The sequence below is a fragment of the Homo sapiens genome, chromosome 3 (assembly GCF_000001405.40).
Source record: "Homo sapiens chromosome 3, GRCh38.p14 Primary Assembly".
In the NCBI taxonomy this organism is placed as follows: domain Eukaryota; kingdom Metazoa; phylum Chordata; class Mammalia; order Primates; family Hominidae; genus Homo; species Homo sapiens.
The window spans coordinates 46,941,840-46,956,152 of NC_000003.12; the positions used below are offsets into that span (position 1 = coordinate 46,941,840).

General features: G+C 50.1%; 1 protein-coding gene across 3 annotated transcripts in view, besides 1 other annotated feature; it reads right to left on the minus strand.

Moving 5' to 3' along the window:
* Positions 1-14,313, minus strand: part of CCDC12 (coiled-coil domain containing 12) — a 60,265-nt gene that overhangs the window by 20,110 nt on the left and 25,842 nt on the right. The gene's annotated exons all lie outside the window — the stretch shown is intronic.
* Positions 6,400-6,694: a silencer, noted in NCBI's record as "tiled region #10220; HepG2 Repressive DNase matched - State 5:Enh". NCBI's record gives its function as "represses a minimal TATA promoter and a strong SV40 promoter by Sharpr-MPRA in HepG2 cells {active_cell/tissue: HepG2}" and the evidence as "EXISTENCE:reporter gene assay evidence [ECO:0000049][PMID:27701403]".

Consider the following 14,313-nt stretch of genomic DNA (forward strand, 5'->3'; position numbering starts at 1 on the left):
GAGTCCTCTCCAGAAATACCTATTTGATTCGCTTTAGAAGTAACATGAACTAGGACCAGGCTTGCAACAAGATTCACTGCCTAGGCCTATGCTATATTCAGGGAGACAGAGGCAAGGGGAATTAGTCTGAAGTTTCCATGAAAATTTTCTTAATCTGGTTCTTTTGACTTCCCACCAACTGCACCTCTTTTTGAAGTCTACAGAGTCATGTTCATCTCAACCTTGACATGTTATGCTTGTTCTCAGGTGCACTGGGGGCCACAACAGAAGGAAACTGCCATACTGCTTCCACCTGAAGCAGAAAATGTCTTCCTGGACTTTATCCTTTATTATGTGATTACCTCTGTTAGGTCAGCCTGCCTGTGGACAAACTGACGCAGGGCGTGTGTGCACATGCACAAATTCGTGTGACCACACCTGGGGCCCAGGGCATGGACTGAGAGGCCCCAAGACAGAGCTGTCGTGGGTCTCCCTGCATGCCAGGGTTGGCACTCCAGAAGGTGACAATGCTCACTTCACTATGGCAGCGTCCTGCCTTTGACTCTCGCAGAGCAGTGTTCTAAGAGAGATCTGTGAGCTCCTTCCATTGGGAGCCTGCTCTGGTGGACACAGAATGCGCTGGAGCCTGCATATAAATTATAAGTAAAACAGCTACTTGAACTACCTTTCCTAGACATTTATTTATGCCATTGACAACTGCCTTCCTAAGAATGGTATCTGCTTTATGTGGAGACTGCAGGCATCAACCAGACCCTGCCATTCCTTGGCCACACAACCTCCGGGGAGCAGACTACCAAAACCAGGTCGGAGGCCTGGCCCAGAGAAAGGCTTCTGTCATGAGAACAGATCAACATGCCCCCCACCCCAACTCAGGGCAGCTCATCTCATGGCAACGAGGCAGCGAGAACAAAATAACTGACCAAGTGACAGCAGCTACACGAGAGAGGTCAACATGGAACGTGGTTCTTGGGCGATGGGTGAGAGGTTTCCTACTGAGAGATGGGCTGGGCAGAATTGGGTGATACAGCATAGGGGGAGAGAAGTGGGAAGGGCATTCCCGGTGGGAAGCAGAGCTTGAACAAAGGCAGGGTGTGGTCTGAAGAGCATGCAGGTGACTGGGGTTGGGGGAGGGGGTGACAATGATTGCCAGGTAAGACAGTCAAGGCAGGCAATGGCCGAACACAGAGGGCTCTGGCCGGTGTTCTTAAGCAATGGAGAAACCGAGGAGAGACTGGAGAGAGTTCACTGACCTCTGCTGGGGAAGGCAGGCCCTGGGGTGGACAGGCAGATGCTTGGTGATGGCCAAAGAGGGAAGGGAGAACAGAGTATAAATGCTTCACTGAGAAACAAGTCAGGATTCTCCAAATGGCTCCCAGGGCTGCTGGGACCTGGACGGGGCTTCCACAAGGGCCCTGCTGACACATGCAGCCCTCCCTGACTAAAGACTAGCCGATGAAGCAAGCCAGAGCCTGCAAATTCTAGCAAAAAATTCCTTCCCAACTCCCAACCAGCGGACACCCTGAAGGCTACTCCCTGCAGTGCCTACCTCAGGGGAAGGAGCGGCAGACACCTGCCCTGGGTAAGGGCAGAGAAGGAAAAGCAGAAAGGGCTCTTCTTTCCCCACACTGGGCTAGTGGGGCAAGACCCCCAGCCACAAAGACGACTCCTTTCCACAGGGGTTCTGTTAACCCGAACCACCTGGCAGAAGTAGGTGGGGACTACGGGAAAGTGTCCAGCCTTTGGGAGGAGTGCTTTGCAAATACCATGCCCTTTCTCGGCTCTCAAGCAAGGTCAAACAGCTGTCACCACCCTCCTGGAGCCCCAGAGACATTCAAGTGCCTCAGCAAAGGCCAAGTTATTCATTAATAAATGAGAAAACACCCAACTATCTAAATGACTTTTAAAAATGCCCAGCAATCTGGTGGGTGGGGGGCAGCACTAGCTCTGCAGACAGCATGAGGTTAAAAATGACCCCAGCCTGGGATGCTGTGCAAAGAGCAGGGGCTCAAAAAAGATAAAGATCCACATCTGTGGCAGGAGCAGGTGAACAAATGAACAGGCCACACAAGTGGGGGAGATAAGGTGTACCTCAGCCTTCCTGACAAAGAGTGATTCATAAATAGGACAATGGGCATTCACGGGAAGGAAAATCGCTTTTGGTGACACTGGCCTGAATCACAAGATAAGGCCCTTTGCTGCCCGGGATAGTGGAGGGAAGCGCAGACCACTTGAAGCTCACCCCTACCTGAGAGACTCAAAGAGCCTCAGACCTGGAGGGCTCGCAGGATCACCCATTCTAGGTCCTCAGTTTAAGCCATGGGAAAACCTGGGAAATGGCAGTCAGGGAAAAGGAAAAGATTTGTCCAAAGTCACAGAACCCATCAGCGGTAGCTGCAAGTCTGGATCCAGGTCGTCCTGATGCCTGGCCCTCAGTCTTGCCAAGGAGACGAGAGAGAGGCTATCAAGAGTGGAAGAGTGGCGCTGAGTTTCTAAAGAGCTCTGATTCTACCCGCCTCTCCTGCGCTCCCCACACAGTTCAGACCTGGTCCCATGTGCTCAGATGCGGCCACAGCCAGCCCAAGTCCAAGCCTAGGCCCTGCTGGACACTCAGTAGGAAAGCAGGCAAGGCCCTAGGTGCACAGCCTCCCCAGGAATTTAGAGACACTTCGCTCACCCTGAGACCTTTAAATCAGACTCAATGCCTCACCACCCCCACTCCCCACTCAATACCCTTCCCAAATCTTGCCATCTTCTCCCTCCTTCCCAATCCCTAGTCTCGTCTACCACCTCCTTAGCTCCCCACCACAACCAAGCCCCCAGCCATTCCCCTCCACCCCTGCCTGCCAGCCAGCCTTCCCCTCTACTCTGGAGAATACAGCTGCCTCCTGCATTTTTCCCTCTCTTTCTCCAACCTGTCTCCCCTAAGTCTCTCTTCAACTTATCAATCCACATTCCTGGCCTCCTCTTCAAAGATACTGGTCAGACCACACTGCACCTCCGCTCAAAGCTCTCACTGGGTCTCCACACCCCCAGGACAACAGCCATTCATCTCGACCTCACATCTGCTCTGTCCAGAACACTCTTACACCCCACATTTTGTCTCAAATCCTGAAATATCTACTCTGATAACCCCCAAGAAAACACACCATCTGGCCAGTCCTAAAGGCCAGGCCAAAGGCCACCTCCTCAAAGCAGCCTTCTAAGATTCCCAGGCAAAAGAATCCTCTGGGCCTACCCAGTGCATATCAGGGTCTGACCGTAGGCCCAGGGCACAGGCCTGTGGCCATTCCTATTCACATGTAGGCTTTACTACCCCTTCCCTTCAAGAACCTCTCAGCACGGGGCATCTCCTAGAGCACCTCAAGGCCTAGCCCAGAGCCTGGGCTAGACAACCTTCAGAAATGCTACCAATTTAACTGCTACCCTCTCCACCAACTCCAGAAGAGTAAACCTCAGGAACGCTGATGGCTGGAGGGCAGGAGAGTCATGGTCTGGGCTGGGGCCCTCCCCATAGCCTATCTGCCTATTAATGGAGGTACTCCCCCATTTCTCACCCCTGCCCACATCTCCACACCTAGACCTTGCACCCCTGCCCTCACCTCCTCCCAGAGCCTTCAGCAGGAAGAAGCCTTTGAGGCAGGATTTCAGGGGGTCTCAAATACAGCCCTGCTCAGGACAGAGTCTGACTGACCTGTTTCCTAATGTTTGAAATCCTTTTTATCAGGGACAAAACTGTTACAAATAAAATTAGAGCTGTGCAAAGTTGGTATTGTTTCTTCCTTAAATGTTCAACAAGACTTCAGTGAAGCAATCTTGGCCTGAAGTTTTATTTGGGAAAATATTTGTTATAGGACTGTATAGATTTTCTATTTCTTCTCCAGCCAGTGTTATTAATTTATGTCTTTCAAGATGTCTGTTTCACCTAAGTTATTGAATTTACTGGCACAAAGTGACTTATATTGTTCTCTTAATAGCCTAATGTCTGTAAGATCTGTAGTGATGTTCACTGATATTGATAATTTGTGTCATTTTTCTTTATCAGACCAGCTAGAGGTTTATCAATTTTGGGACGTGCCTCCATCTCATCTCCTCAGACTCGGTGTTTCAACAATGGCTTTGCTCCTCAGTCACCTCTCTCTGGAAGGATCCCTCAATGGATGAGTACACCTGCCTCTGGATGGCACATGAAGCGTGGGGGCAGAATCAATCCACATTGCTGTCTGAATGTAGTACCACTGCTAGAAGCAGGTCAATCAACAACCAGGCCTACAGGAGGAGGGAGGAAGAAGAGAGGCTGCTCTATGTCCTCCTCTTGCCCCTTCCCACCCACAGTAAGATGAAGATCTCTTTCCTTGCACCCCTCAGTCTCCTTTGTGGGCCAGGTCTACCTTGGGCACAAAGATAAAGTAAGAACCCTATCGTCAAGAATCTCAAGTCTACTCAAAGGATCAGACTTAGAAAATGTAACTCTGTGCCATGAGTAGTAAGGAAAGCTTTACTAAATATCTTGTACACTTAGGGAATTAGCAAGGGATAGGTGTTGTCGGGGAAGGAAGTAATGCTTAAACTCAATTCTAAATGTCCACTGGGGGATTATGAGGCAGCTAAAGAAGGCAGAGCATTCCTGGGAGTGGTAACTGCCTACAAAGACATGAGAGCGGAGCAAGAGCACTGTCACAGCCTGCAGAGCAGGCCCACATGGCTGGCCCAGCCTCACCTGATGCTGTCAGGGGCAGGGCTCACAGGGCATTCCTCCAGCACCGTGGGAGGGCTGAGCCCAGCATGAGGGCCGACACCCTGAACGGGCACTGTGGTAGCCTACAAGATGTGTCATGGGAGGAACGGGGAAGACCAGAAGTCAGGTGAGATCCTCCACTCCCAGCCTGGACCTGCCCCAGCCTGCTGCTGTCTGTGTGTCTGTGTTTGGGAGGGGGGTTAAAGTTAAAATGAGGGCTGGGAACTGTCACTGGGGGCGGGTGTGCCGAAGCAGGAGGACTTGAGTTCAGGGGATGAGGAATAAGCCCCTCCCTCTCCCTAAGACTTCCCAAGGACTCAAACTTTTAGGAGCTGCTGACTAGAGCTCTCCCTTCCAGAAGGAAATAAGAGAAGCAGGAAAGGGTTAAGAGAGAGACATTCAACTTCTCATCTAGGGTCTTCCCACCCTTCTTTAGCTTCCTGAAGAAGCTAGAGACTCACCAGGAACTCATGGGTACAGAAACACTTTCCAATCCCCAGGTGATATGCCCCATTAGCTCTGAGTACGCCTGCTATAATGTCCATGGGAAACTGCCCTCTGTTCAAAAGTTAAAGAGAAAATAAGACCTCGAAATCCTAGCCCCCTAAGAAGAGGCCAAACTGGCCCCACTTTGAGCCTTTCCAGTTCTGATTTGGGCCCAGGGTGGGGAAAAAAGCAAAAGAGATGGGCACATAGTGCCTGAAGGTGACAGGAAGAGACAGACAATGCTGGGGCAAACTTGGCAGGCTCCCCAGTGTCACCTTGTGCCCATCCTCAGGGCCACTGCAGCCCCATGCCGGGGTGGAGGGACTTCCTGTCGGGTGCTGCCGTGGTGGGAGCTGTGTTCCAAGGGCACTTAGCGGGTAGGGCAGTCACCCGGAGTCTGACTCACCCTGAAGATGGAGTGATAAGAAGTGAGCTGAACACCACCATGCCTGGGACCAGAAACTGCACAGATCTCTACTGCCCAGAGACTGGCAGGGGGAAAGGGGGAGAGACTCTGCTTCTCCTGGGCAGGCTGAGATCTCGTCAGGCTGCAGAGCTCCTCACTCTGGGTCCCCTGCACTCAATGTGCTGCTAGGATGACTTGGTCCGAGTATCCACTCTATCTGCTGACCAGACCAAGAGTTCCTAGAGGGCAGACGTTTGTTGTACCAGTTTGCACCCACAGGCCTGACACCAACTACAGCAGGCACAGCACTGTGGTAGAGGAGTGCACAGGAGCGGGGAAATCCCAGCTCCATTTCATCTTGGCTGTGTGACCTTGGGCAAGTTATATGACCTGTCTGGCCTCAGTTTCCTCATCTACAAAAATGAGGATAATCATACTGACATCATATCACCATTACAAGGAAATGATGAAGGAGAAAAGCCTGCAGCTTAGGGAGCCTGAAGAACAGGGAGAATCAGGCCAGGGCAGGAAGGAAAGGGCTGCAGAAAAGCCAGCGGGGCACAGGCCCAGAACGGTGTGCCTCTGCAGAGGTCATGGGAAGCTCCCATGCCCATCATCCTTATCAGATGTTCTCAGCAATCCTGTAAGCAGACAGGGCAGTGTTGTAATACCTGCTTCACCAAGACATTAGGAGATGACGTCAGATGATCTGTGCAGTGTAGACAGATCTGATTCCCCATTCAGTGCTTCACCAAGAGTCAGCAGGAACAGGTGGTGACTACCATCCAAGAGGCTGGGATTAGCTAAGAGCCACTGCTCTCCTGTGGGTTCATGTGTTCCCTAAAGGCTTCTGAGCAGAGCAAGAACAAAGCGCTGAGCGGGAGGCTGGGAGAACAGCGAGGCTAGAGATAAGGACTGGAGATAAGGACGGGAACTAGGTCAACAGCGGTGGACTAGAACAAGGAGGTGCCTCAACGCTGTGGGGAGACAGGGAGGAGCAGAAACAACTGAGGTTCTGCTGGTGACTCACTGGGGGAAGGAAGGCGCCTTTGACAAAAAGGTGGTGGCACTTAGGGGACAAAGAGAAAGGGTGTGGCAGCCTTCAGGCATTCTAACGGTGAGGCTTGACACCCAAGGCCTGACGAAGGTTGGTGCCAAGGGATAGCACCTGTCAAGGTGCCCTCAGCGGTGGAAAGGAGGGCCCGCTCCACTCAGAAGAGAGGCACGCTGGGCCCCACCATCCATATGGCACCTCAAGGGCCAGGCCACGGCATGCCTAGTGCAGCTCCTCGCCAGGCCCGTCACACGGCCCTGCCCAGATATCCTCCATGTGTCTGTCAGGAGTGTGGGGAGCCAGCCCAAGTCAACTCTGATCCTATTCTTGCTGCAAGTGCTCAAGGGAGGCACTACAGAGCTCCTCCAGCAGACTTTATCAGTCGACAAATACTGACTGGCTCCCCTGTGGTACTCCATGCTGTACTCAGATACTCCATGCTGGGTACTGAGGAGGAAGAGGAACGAGTAGGCACCTAGTGCCCACAGAGCAGGGCAGGGGTTCTTATCCTCGGTGCACAGATTCCAGAGGTCAATGACCAGACAGAAACACAGGCGAGTGTGAGAAGGTGAATCTTAGTGGATGAGAAATCTGGAGCTCTTCAGATTCTCAAGGGGGTGGTGACCCACAGGGGAAAAGGGAAGGTGTCAACAGCCAGGGAAGGCAGTGTTTTTTTGGGTGGCATTAAGAGGTGTCTACAGAGGCTTTCCAAAGGAAGTGTCACCTTAAAGGATGAGTGACAGTGGGGACAGAGGGACGGAGGGGGAAGAGAGCAGAGGGAACAACCAGAACCATTAGTATGCAAAAGGCCCCTCCCACTGCCCTGAGACTTCACCCACACTGGCCCCAGCAGGAAATAACCTCTTGAAAGGTCACACAGAGGGCAGGGCAAAGACCAGTCTCTTCCCCTTCCTTCATATGCAGCCAGACTGGACGAGTTCCTCTGGGAAGTCTGGCCTGGCTCCAAACTCCCTCCAGGGTCCTCCCTGTAGGGGCACTGTGGTATGCAGGAAGCCCAGCCTGCAGCCCTGGACTGGGCAGGTGGTGGGAACATCAGGACACACTGCTTACCAGTGGTGGGACCTCCCTGAGGCTCTGTCTCCTCCCCTGTCAAAGTGGGGCTGGCACTACTTTAACAGGGGCATGTGAGGATTATACAAGGCAACTTGGGTCCACCATGTGGTACAGGGTCCCGCATGACCCTGCACCATGAAAAACTGCCTGCTGGCCGGGCACAGTGGCTCACGCCTGTAATCCCAGCACTTTGGGAGGCCAAGGCAGGTGGATCATAAGGTCAGGAGTTCGAGACCAGCCTGGCCAATATGGTGAAAACCTATCTTTACTAAAACTACAAAAATTAGCCGGGCATGGTGGCGGGCGCCTGTAGTCCCAGCTACTCGGGAGGCTGAGGCAGGAGAACTGCTCGAACCCAGAGGTAGTGGTTGCAGTGAGCCAAGATTGCGCTACCACACTCCAGCCTGGGTGACAGAGTGAGACTCCATCTCAAAAAAAAAAAAAAAAGAAAAGAAAAAAAAACTGCCTGCTGACATCTTGCAGTGTCCCAAGTCCTGCTGTCCCTCAGCGATGGGCCTAATTCGAACCCTGGTTCTTGCTGCATCCCTCTTAGGGAACCTGATGCTCCTTCTGTTCTCACCCACCCCTTGCCCTGACACAAAAACCAAGAAAGCACTTAACAAGAACCCAGGACCCAGCACCCAGGGCCCAGATCCATGCTGGGAAACAGAAGGCCTATTAGTATTAGACCAACCAGAAGAGAAATTGATCTACATTTGCATTTTTTTGAGATAGGGTCTCGCTCTGTTGTCCAGCTGTCCAGGCTGGAATGCATGGTGCAATCATAGCTTACCACAGCCTGAAATTCCTAGGCTCAAGTAAACCTCCCACCTCAGCCTCCTGCATAGGAGTAGCTAGGACTACAGGGGCATGCCACCATGCACAGCTTTTTTTTTTTTTTTGGGGTAGAGACAGGGTCTAACTATATTGCCAAGGTTGGTTTCGAGCTCCTGGGCTCAAGTAATCCTCCTGCCTTGGCCTCCCAAAGTGCTGGATTATAGGCATGAGCCACATGCCCAGCCCATTTTTTAAAATGTAACAACATTCATGTGAATGGAGCACATTATCCTTTTCTGAAAGTGCTACATTTTTTTGGCTAAGTCTCTGTATATGCTAAACTTAATTTTTAAAAGTGAGGCTCAAATGGAAATAACCTGTGTCCATAAATGGATGAATGAGTAAGAAAATTTAGTATATACACACAATGAAATACTATTCAGGCTTCAAAAAAAAAAGAGGAAATCCTGTCATTTGCAACAACATGGACAAATCTGGGGAACATTATGCTAAGCGAAATAAGCCAGGCTCAGAAAGACAAATACTGCATGATCTCACTTATATGTGGAATCTAAAACAGTAGAACTGGCCAGCCACAGTGGCTCACACCTGTAATCCCAGCATTTCGGGAGGCCGAGGCGGGTCCCAACTACCCAGGAGGCTGAGGTGGGAGGATCAAACAAGGCCACGAGGTCAAGGCTGCAGTGAGCTGTAACTGAACTACTGCACTCCAGCCTTGGCAACAGAGTGAGACTCGTATCTCAAAAAAATTAAAAATTAAAATAAAAAAATAAAAAGTAGAACTCACCGAAACAGAGACTAGATGGGTGGTTACAGAGGCTGGAGTTGCAGGAGAGGTGGAGAAAGTGAAGATGTTGGGCAAAGGACACAAAGTTCCAGTTAGGCAGGAGGAGTGTGTTTAAGGGAGCTACTGCACAGCATGGTGATCGGTTAATAATAATGTATATTCAAAATTGCTGAGCCTAGATTTTAAAGTCTCACCACAAAAAATGTTAAATCAGCTTGATTTAATCTTTCTACAACGTATATTGTAGAAACATCACGTTGTACACCATAAATATACAGCTATTATTTATCAATTAACAATTTTTAAAAAATCATTTTAGGGCTGGGCACGGTGGCTCAGGCCTGTAATCCCAGCACTTTGGGAAGCCGAGGCGGGTGGATCACGAGGTCAGGAGATCAAGACCATCCTGGCTAACACAGTGAAACCCCGTCCCTACTAAAAATACAGAAAATTAGCCGGGCGTGGTGGCGGGCACCTGCAGTCCCAGCTACTCGGGAGGCTGAGGCAGGAGAATGGCGTGAACTAGGGAGGCGGAGCTTGCAGTGAGCCAAGATTGTGCCACTGCACTCCAGCCTGGGCGACAGAACGAGACTCCGTCTCAAAAAAAAAAAAAAAAAAAATATATATATATATATATATATATACTTAATGAGGATCAAATTAACAATGATCTATCTGCTATCTGATTCCTTTAGGATTGTCAAGAGGCCCCAGGCTACAAGAACAGGCACCACCCATCTGTGAAGTTTCCCCACAGAATCCTTAATTCTGACCCCACCACAAAACTCGGTGGGTGGGTTTCAGCACATTCTCCTGTGTGGGCCAAAGGTCATGACCACTTTTAGCACAAAGGTGTTCTTCCCATGCCTTCTAATGATAACCATCCCAGACATATGATTCTACCTTTATTTCCCCACATGAGATTTTGTTTGACATCTGTCTTCCTTCCTAGACTGGAAGCTCTCAGAGGCCTCTCCATCACTGCTCACAGCACCTGGCACTAAGAGCAGCTGGACCAATAGTAAAGGAACCACCTGGGGAGGCAGAAGGCACATGCTAACTTCCCATGTTACAGGAACTTCTGTTGTGTGAGCCTTCCAACAGCACCCACGTATTCGGTTATCACTAGCCTTGTTGCACAGATGCAAGAACTGAGGCTGGACCAGGTCTGTGCATGTCATACCTAATACTCTTTCCATTGGGTAGAGCACAAGTTTTGGGAAATAAACAGAAGCCCAGCTCCCCGCTGCCACATCCTCAGTTCTTTCTACCACACATGCTGCTTGTTTATCCTTTAGTTGTCTGTTCTATCCTCTTTTCCAACAACTATCTGCACCTCTGCTTCTCTCCTGCAAAATGAAGACAAAAATCCCAACCCTGCCCACTTCTTGGGAGTGTGGTTTTAACTAGGTTCCATAAAATTGGAAGATTTTCCATTAGAAGGTGAGCCCTGGGCAGTGCCGAACCCAAATGTCACTCTTCTCTGTTCTGCATGTCTTACAACACTGTCAATTCTTTGGTAATAACAGTATGCCAGGCAACTGATTATTCCATTAATTAAACAGTAGTACTGATATTATCAAAAATAATCAATAATTAATCACTATGAAAATCTAATAAGGTCAGCACTCCTTTCTCCTACCACAGATGAGAAAAATGGAAGCCCAGGACAATTAAGTAACCCATCCAGAGTCACACAGCTAGAGGTTGCCAGGACGCAAATGGCAGGGCAGGCTTCAAGCATAGGCTGATTCCCTCTAGAACCCCTGCCCTTTGCTCTTGTCCCACTCCTGTCCCTACCTTTCACATGCAAATGGTTTCAAGTGTGTCTAGGGTGCCTCCATCTGTCATCACATGAGAGTTGACAGCTCTTTCTGGTGTCATTTCAGAGAGATACAATCAAACCCATCGAGAGCCCCAAATATTGTCATTTCTTGGCCAAGAACTCCAGTCCCAAAAGACATCACAAGGAAATAAAAGAGCAATGCATGCAGAGGTGTTTAGAGCTGTGTTTCTCACAGTAGGGAGAAGTGGAACTATGCAGTGAGCCCAACACCGTAGGGCACAGTTATGCAGGCCAGCATTCACATGATGGGCCAGGGGAGGCATTAAAATAGCGAGGCAGCACTATGCAACAGACAAACACACAAACGCCAGGGGTAAGAGTCCTATATTACATACTCATGATTGCAACCATGGCAATACCATACATACAAATGGCCAAAGACTTCACAGACTCGCACTCAACCGTGGGTAGTATTTTTTCCATCTTCCTTAATTCTGCTGTCAAAATGACTTAATAATAAAAGTAACCAGAGGAACCTAGCTGACTATGGCTCACTATCTTGACTCATACCCTAAACAGATTCTCTTGACCCTCACCTGGCTAAATGGGGAAGCAGGAAACCATGGCTGGCACTCAGGCCTGACACAGCCTTGTCAATGCCTAATGACTTTTCTCAAGCTTGGAAAAAAAAAAAAAAAAAAGTCCAGCTTTGCTGGTGCAGAAGAGGACAGGTTGAGCCTGCACACACCAGCGTCCCTCTGCAGCCTGGGACTCTAACCACAGTAGCAAATGCAGCAGCCAATTGTAGACTAAGCCCTCTTAAATCAGGATAGACATCTCCATTACTGGGGGGCTAAAAATGTCGGTTAAGAAACTAACTGGTGATGAGCAATGAAGTCACCTCCCCACCCTCTCACCCTACCCCACCATTTCCCTTTTCTTGGAGGGGAAAAAAGCCTCCTTCACCACAAAGCAGAATTCACAACCACTAGGACTTCCTCACCATTCTAAGCTCACGAGGGGAGCAGCAGTGAGCAAATCACAAAAGCAAATGATAAGGTCCATGCAGATTGGAAGACCCCTCCCCTGGTGGGAGACAGCTTCGTGTGGCACCCAGAAACCCCTTCCCCATTGCCTCACAGTGGACAGTCAGAGGAATCAGGCACAGGGGGCCCACCTGGTCAGTTCCAGGGACTGGAACAACCACCCAGACTCTCTGGTCCTGAGGACATGTGGCTGCTACCTGACCATCCCCAGATCTGTAAGGCCTGTAGAACAAAAGAAGGTGACCTTTCTCCACAAACTCTGGCTGGTAGATAGGATCCTTAGGCTGAGCCCAGGAGGGAAGAGGAGGAGAAAGCCCAACCACTATGTGTTCACTTTCGCTGGATCCAACAGAGACAGCAAGCAAGGACCTGAAAACCTCAGTGGGTGGCCCCTGTAAATGATACCCTTTCGCCTCCCACACACACCCTAGTCCCATGGCCCTGTTTACATCAATTCTGGATCCCCTAAAACAGTTTCCTTGATAGCTGCCAACGGCCCTCACTCAAACCTGGCACCAGATGCATCAACCTCTATAGCATCTATGTGACCTTTCATGTGGGTAGATTTGTTCTTAAAATGGGGTGGGTCAAGGGAATAAGAGCTACCATTTATTAAAAGAACAGGTATTTCCACCGGGCACGGTGGCTCACGCCTGGTAATCCCAGCACTCTGGGAGGCCGAGGCGGGCAGATCACAAGGTTAGGAGTTCAAGACCAGCCTGGCCAACATGGTGAAACCCCATCTCTACTAAAAATACAAAAATTAGCTGGGCATGGTGGCGGGCACCTGTAGTCCCAGCTACTCAGGAGGCTGAGCAGGAGAATCGCTTGAAACCAGAAGGAGGAGGTTGCAGTGAGCCAAGACTGCACCACTGCACTCCAACCTGGGCAAAAGAGCGAAACTCCGTCTGAAAAAAAAAGTTATTTCCCAACCAACCGACAGCCAACACCACAGCTGGGACATCAGTGTTCCTGGTATCCACGTCACACCACTGGCTTATTCAAAGCCTGTGACCAACTAAAATGCCCAGTTCTTTTCCAATGTTAACGGCTGTCAAAGCACCCCTAGTCCATGCCTAAACTACAGATCGAAGAAACCTAACTGACTTCACAATCACCCAGTGAAGTTCTTCTTGCTGTTAGCATCGCCACAGCCTGCACTTTTTAAATAAACTCTTGGACTTGTCCTCGTGGGCAAGTCTGTTTTTCCTGAGGAAAATCTCAGCCCAACTAACTCCCAAATCCATGTGCCTGCCTAGTTGCTTCTTCATTTGAATGTTTACGGAGTCTCTGAGTCTTGTCATGGGGCAGACAAAAAGGTGACTAAAGCAAGATGGCTGCCCTCAGGGAAGTCAGGGGCAGGGAAGAGAGAAGCAGACAGTGAACAGATAACCACCCTATAGTGCATCCAAAGCCTGAATGCCACTGGGAATGAGAGAAGGTGGGACCCGAGAACACCTGGAAGGCCAGCCAGGTGGGCAGGCTGTCCAGGGAGAGAAGAGGGAAGATGCAGACTGAGCGGTCAGAGAGGGGAATGTCAGGGTCACTAGAAGGAGCGGGTGTGTCCAGGCAGAGAGTGGTGATATCCAAGGGCACTGGGGAAGTGGGATGGGCCTGCCTGATGGGCTACAGACTTTATCTCACAAGCACTGAGAACCTGGAGGACAGGTAGAGAGGTGGCAACAATATGATTCGAGTATTTTATAAAGAGCATTTAGCAAAGCCCAGAAAGCAAAGGGGCCCCCCGAAAAACAAGCTGGATGTGAGTTAGGAGAGCCACCTTCTCACCCCAAGGACAGCAGAAGAGCAGCTGTCTCTGAGTCTGTCGGGAGGAACAGTCCCTTCCAACTGCAAGCTGCCATGTGGTACTTGCTCATCTACTCACACTTCACTCTTGTGCACACCAGGGCCTCTGGCCCCCACCAATACCCCGGAATCAGGTATTATCACTGCATACAAATGACCAGGTTCAGAACAACTAAGAAACTTAACCAGTGGCTCAGGGCTAATAAAAGATAGGCCCACATTTAAACAGGGGCTTTCTGATTGCATCAGGCTTTCAAAATTCTCTCAAATAAACAGCCCTAAGGCTTAGGTCTGCTTTCTGCCTAACAGCCAGAGAAGTGTGATCACATCTATTC